The sequence below is a fragment of the Homo sapiens genome, chromosome 2 (genome assembly GCF_000001405.40).
Source record: "Homo sapiens chromosome 2, GRCh38.p14 Primary Assembly".
NCBI lineage: Eukaryota > Metazoa > Chordata > Mammalia > Primates > Hominidae > Homo > Homo sapiens.
In genome coordinates this window covers 199,248,606-199,253,115 of record NC_000002.12, presented here as the reverse complement: position 1 = coordinate 199,253,115, position 4,510 = coordinate 199,248,606, and the positions used below count along the sequence as shown (strand labels likewise).

The window sequence follows — 4,510 nt, the reverse complement described above, 5'->3', positions numbered from 1 at the left end:
CCATGAAAGAATAATTCACAGAAGGCACACGCCATCTACAAGGAGAAAAGCAAGAGAAAAAATTATTTTTGCTGAAGCCATGAGGTCTACACGCCCAGAGCAGCAAGACTCAGGAGAGGCCTTGCAGTGTCTCTCAACCTCACTGGGTGCTTCTCTCTGGATATGAGTGTCTTCTCCTTCATTGTGGAGAGGATAGCAGGCTTTAAATAGCCAGGAACATTGAGACCTTTAATTTAATGCTACATCAAATTAATATCAAATTAATTGCCTTGTTTATCTTTATTCACATTCTACCATTTGTTCCCAAAAAAGCTGTGGTTGGACAATCTCCACAAATACTCCCCTAGGAAGGGCAGGATATCTCAGAACCATTCACAGGTGATCAAGAGTGTGTGTGTGTGTGTGTGTGTGTGTGTGCGTGCATGCACGTGCACACATGTGTACAAGTGCATTTCTTTTTTTTTTTTTTTTTGTGAGCAACATGGCTGTTTATTTCACCTGGGTGCAGGCAGGCTGAGTCCAAAAAGAGAGTCAGCGAAGGGAGATAAGGGTGGGGCCGTTTTATAGGATTTGGGTAGGTAAAGGAAAATTACAGTCAAAGGGGGTTTGTTCTCTGGCCGGCAGGAGTGGGGGTCGCAAGGTGCTCAGTGGGGGTGCTTTTTGAGCCTGGATGAGCCAGGAAAAGGACTTTCACAAGGTAATGTCATCAGTTAAGGCAAGGACTGGCCATTTACACTTCTTGTGTGGTGGAATGTCATCAGTTAAGGTGGGGCAGGGCATATTCACTTCTTTTGTGATTCTTCAGTTACGTCAGGCCATCTGGGCATATACATGCAAGTCACAGGGGATGCGATGGCTTGGCTTGGGCTCAGAGGCCTGACATTCCTGCCTTCTTATATTAACAAGAAAAATAAAACAAAATAGTGTTGAAGTGTTGGGGCGGCGAAAATTTTTGGGGGGGTGGTATGGAGAGAGAGTGGACGATGTTTCTCAGGGCTGCTTCAAGCGGGATTAGGGGCAGTGTGGGAACCTAGAGTGGGAGAGATTAAGCTGAAGGGAGGTCTTGTGGTAAGGGGTGATATTGTGGGGATGTTAGAAGAAACGTTTGTCGTATAGAATGATTGGTGATGGCCTGGATACGGTTTTGTATGAATTGAAAAACTAAATGGAATAACAGAAGGAGAAAAACAGGTATAAAAGGTCTAAGAATTGGGACGACTCAGGATATCTGATTAGAGAGTGCTTAAGGAGATTCGGCAGAGTCCTGCCAGCAAAGATTATTCATTTACTTCAAGAGTTAAGAGTGGCAGTTTGGAGATAGCACCAGGAGATATCAGCTGTGATGACTTGGAAAAACAGTGTAAACTGGCAGTGTAAACAAGAGCAGGGCATGTATGAGTAGTTGAGAATGGTGAATAGGGTGACTAGACAGAAGATAGTAAGGATGACAAGTTTTTTTTGGGGGGGGCACAGTCTAAGTTGGTCTGTTGTCTGGAATGAGACTGGGGCCTAATAAAAAGGAGCATCTATACAGGAGCTTAAGTGGGCTGTACCCTGTAGCATTCCGAGAACAGGCCTGAATTCTGAGAAGGGAAAGTGGTAGAAGTATTGTCCAGTCTTTTTTAAGTTGGTGGCTGAGCTTGGTGAGGTGTGTTTTTAAAAGACCTTTAGTCCATTCTACTTTTCTTGAAGACAGAGGACCATAAGGGATATAAAGGTTTCACTGAATACTAAGAGCTTGAAAAACTGCTTGGCTGATTTGACTAATAAAGGCTGGTCTGTTATCAGACTGTATTGAGGTGGGAAGGCTAAACTGAGGAATTGTGTCTGGCAGAAGGGAAGAAATGACTGCGGTGGCCTTCTCAGACCCTGTAGGAAAGGCCTTTACTTATTCAGTGAAAGTGTCTATTTAGACTAAGAGGTATTTTAGTTTCCTGACTCGGGCATGTTGAGTAAAGCTAATTTGCCAGTCCTGGGTGGGGGCAAATCCTCGAGCTTGATGTGTAGGGAAGGGAGGGGGCCAGAATAATCCCTGAGGAGGAGTAGAATAGCAGATGGAACACTGAGAAGTTATTTCCTTGAGGATAGATTTCCATGACGGAAAGGAAATGAGAGGTTCTAAGAGGCGGGCTAGTGGCTTGTACTATGGCATAACCTGCCTTTGCTGGTGTGTGGCGATTAGGCCTGGTGGAACCGCCATCAATAAATCAAGCGTGATCAGGGTGAGGAACAGGAAAGAAGGAAATTTGGGGAAATGGGGTGAATGTCAGGTGGATCAGAGAGATACAGTCATGGGGGTCAGGTGCGGTATCAGGAATAATGTGGGAGGCCGGATTGAAGTCCGGGCCAGGAACAACGGTAATTGTGGGAGACTCAACGAAGAGTGAGTACGGCTGAAGGAGCCGGGAAGCAGAAATTATATGCGTCAGGTATGAGGAAGAAAATAGATTTTGGAAGTTATGAGAACTGTAGAGAGTGAGTTGAGCATAGTTTGTGATTTTGAGGGCCTCTAAAACTATTAAAGCAGCGGCAGCTGCTGCACGCAGACATGAGTGCTAGGCTAAAACGGTAAGGTCAAGTTGTTTGCACAGAAAGGCTACAGGGTGCGGTCCTGGCTCTTGTGTAAGAATTCTGACTGCACTAACTATGCCTAGGAAGGAAAGGAGTTGCTGTTTTGTAAGGGATTGAGGTTTGGGAGATTAATCAGACATGATCAGCAGGGAAAGCACGTATGTTTTTACGAGAATTATGCCGAGATAGGTAACAGATGAGGATAAAATTTGGGCTTGACAGAACTAATGGGGGCTATCTATGAAGGCTTGCGGCAGTACAGCCTAGGTAATTTGCTGAGCCTAATGGGTCTCAGGGTCAGTCTAAGTGAAAGCAAAGAGAGGCTGGGATGAGGGGTGCAGGGGAATAGTGAAAAAAGCATCTTTAAGATCAAGCACGGCATAGTGAGTTGTGGAGGAAGGTATTGAGGACAAAAGAGGGTACGGGTTGGGCACCACAGGGTGGATAGGCAAAACAATTTGGTTGATAAGGCACAGCTCCTGAACTAACTTGTAAGGCTTGTCTGGTTTTAGGACAGGTAAAATGGGGGAATTGTAAGGAGAGTTTATAGGTTTTAAAAGGCCATGATGTAGCAGGCGAGTGATAACAGGCTTTAATCTTTTTAAAGCGTGCTGCGGGATGGGATATTGGCATTGAGTGGGGTAAGGGTGATTAGGTTTTAATGAGATGGTAAGGGGTGCATGATCGGTCACCAAGGAGGGAGTAGAGGTATCTTATACTTGTGGGTTAAGGTGGGGGGATACAAGAGGAGGACGCAAAGAAGGCTTTGGATTGGGCAGAAGGGCGGCAATGAGATATAACTGTAGTCCAGGAATAGTCAGGGAAGCAGATAATTTAGTTAAAGTGTCTCAGCCTAATAAGGGAACTGGGCAGGTGGGGATAACTAAAAAGGAGTGCTTAGAAGAGTATTGTCTAAGTTGGCACCAGAGTTGGGGAGTTTTAAGAGGTTTAGAAGCCTGGCTGTCAATACCCACAACAGTTATGGAGGCAAGGGAAACAGGCCCTTGAAAAGAAGGTAATGTGGAGTGGGTAGCCTCCGTATTGATTAAGAAGGGGACGGCTTTACCTTCCACTGTGAGAGTTACGTGAAGCTCGGTGTCTGTGATGGTCTAGGGGGCTTCTGAGGCAATCAGGCAGTGTCAGTCTTCAGCCGCTAAGCCGAGAAGATCTGGGAAGGAGTCAGTCAGAGAGCCTTGGGCCAGAGTTCCAGGGGCTCTGGGAGTGGCTGCCAGGTGAGTTGAACAGTCCAATTTTCAGTGGGGTCCCACACAGATGGGACGCGGCTTAGGAGGAATCCAGGGCTGCGGGCATTCCTTGGCCCAGTGGCCAGATTTCCAGCACGTGTAGCCAGCTCCTGGGGGAGGAGGTTCTGGAGGAATGCCTGGCCGTTGCGGTTCAGGCGTTTGGAAGTTCTTGTGTGCTGGAGATGTGGCTGGGGTTTGTCTCACAGTGGAGGCAAAGAATTGCAACTTTTTTCTGTTATTGTACACCTTGAAGGTGAGGTTAATTAAGTCCTGTTGTGGGGTTTGAGGGCCAGATTCCAGTTTTTGGAGTTTTATTTAATGTCGGGAGCAGATTGGGTAATAAAATGTATATTGAGAATAAGACGGCCTTTTGACCTTTTAGGGTCTAGGGCTGTAAAGCGTCTCAGGGTTGCTGCCAAAGGAGTCATGAACTGGGCTGGATTTTTATATTTGATGAAAAAGAGCCTAAACGCTTCTGATTTGGGATAAAGAAAAAGGAGCATTAACCTTGACTATGCCTTTGGCTCCAGCCACCTTTTTAAGAGTAAATTGCTGGGCAGGTGGGGGAGGGCTAGTCATGGAATGAAACTGTAAGCCGGACCAGGTGTGAGGAGGGGAGGTGATAAAAGGATTATAGGGTGGAGGAGCAGAGGCTGAGGAAGAATTGGGACCTAGCTCGGCCTTGCAAGGAGCAG

The 4,510-nt window shown here is 46.3% G+C and overlaps 1 annotated feature.

Moving 5' to 3' along the window:
- Window positions 446–1,029: an enhancer, noted in NCBI's record as "NANOG hESC enhancer chr2:200116810-200117393 (GRCh37/hg19 assembly coordinates)". NCBI's record gives its function as "activates a minimal SCP1, AML or CMV promoter by ChIP-STARR-seq in naive H9 embryonic stem cells {active_cell/tissue: H9 hESC(naive)}" and the evidence as "EXISTENCE:reporter gene assay evidence [ECO:0000049][PMID:30033119]".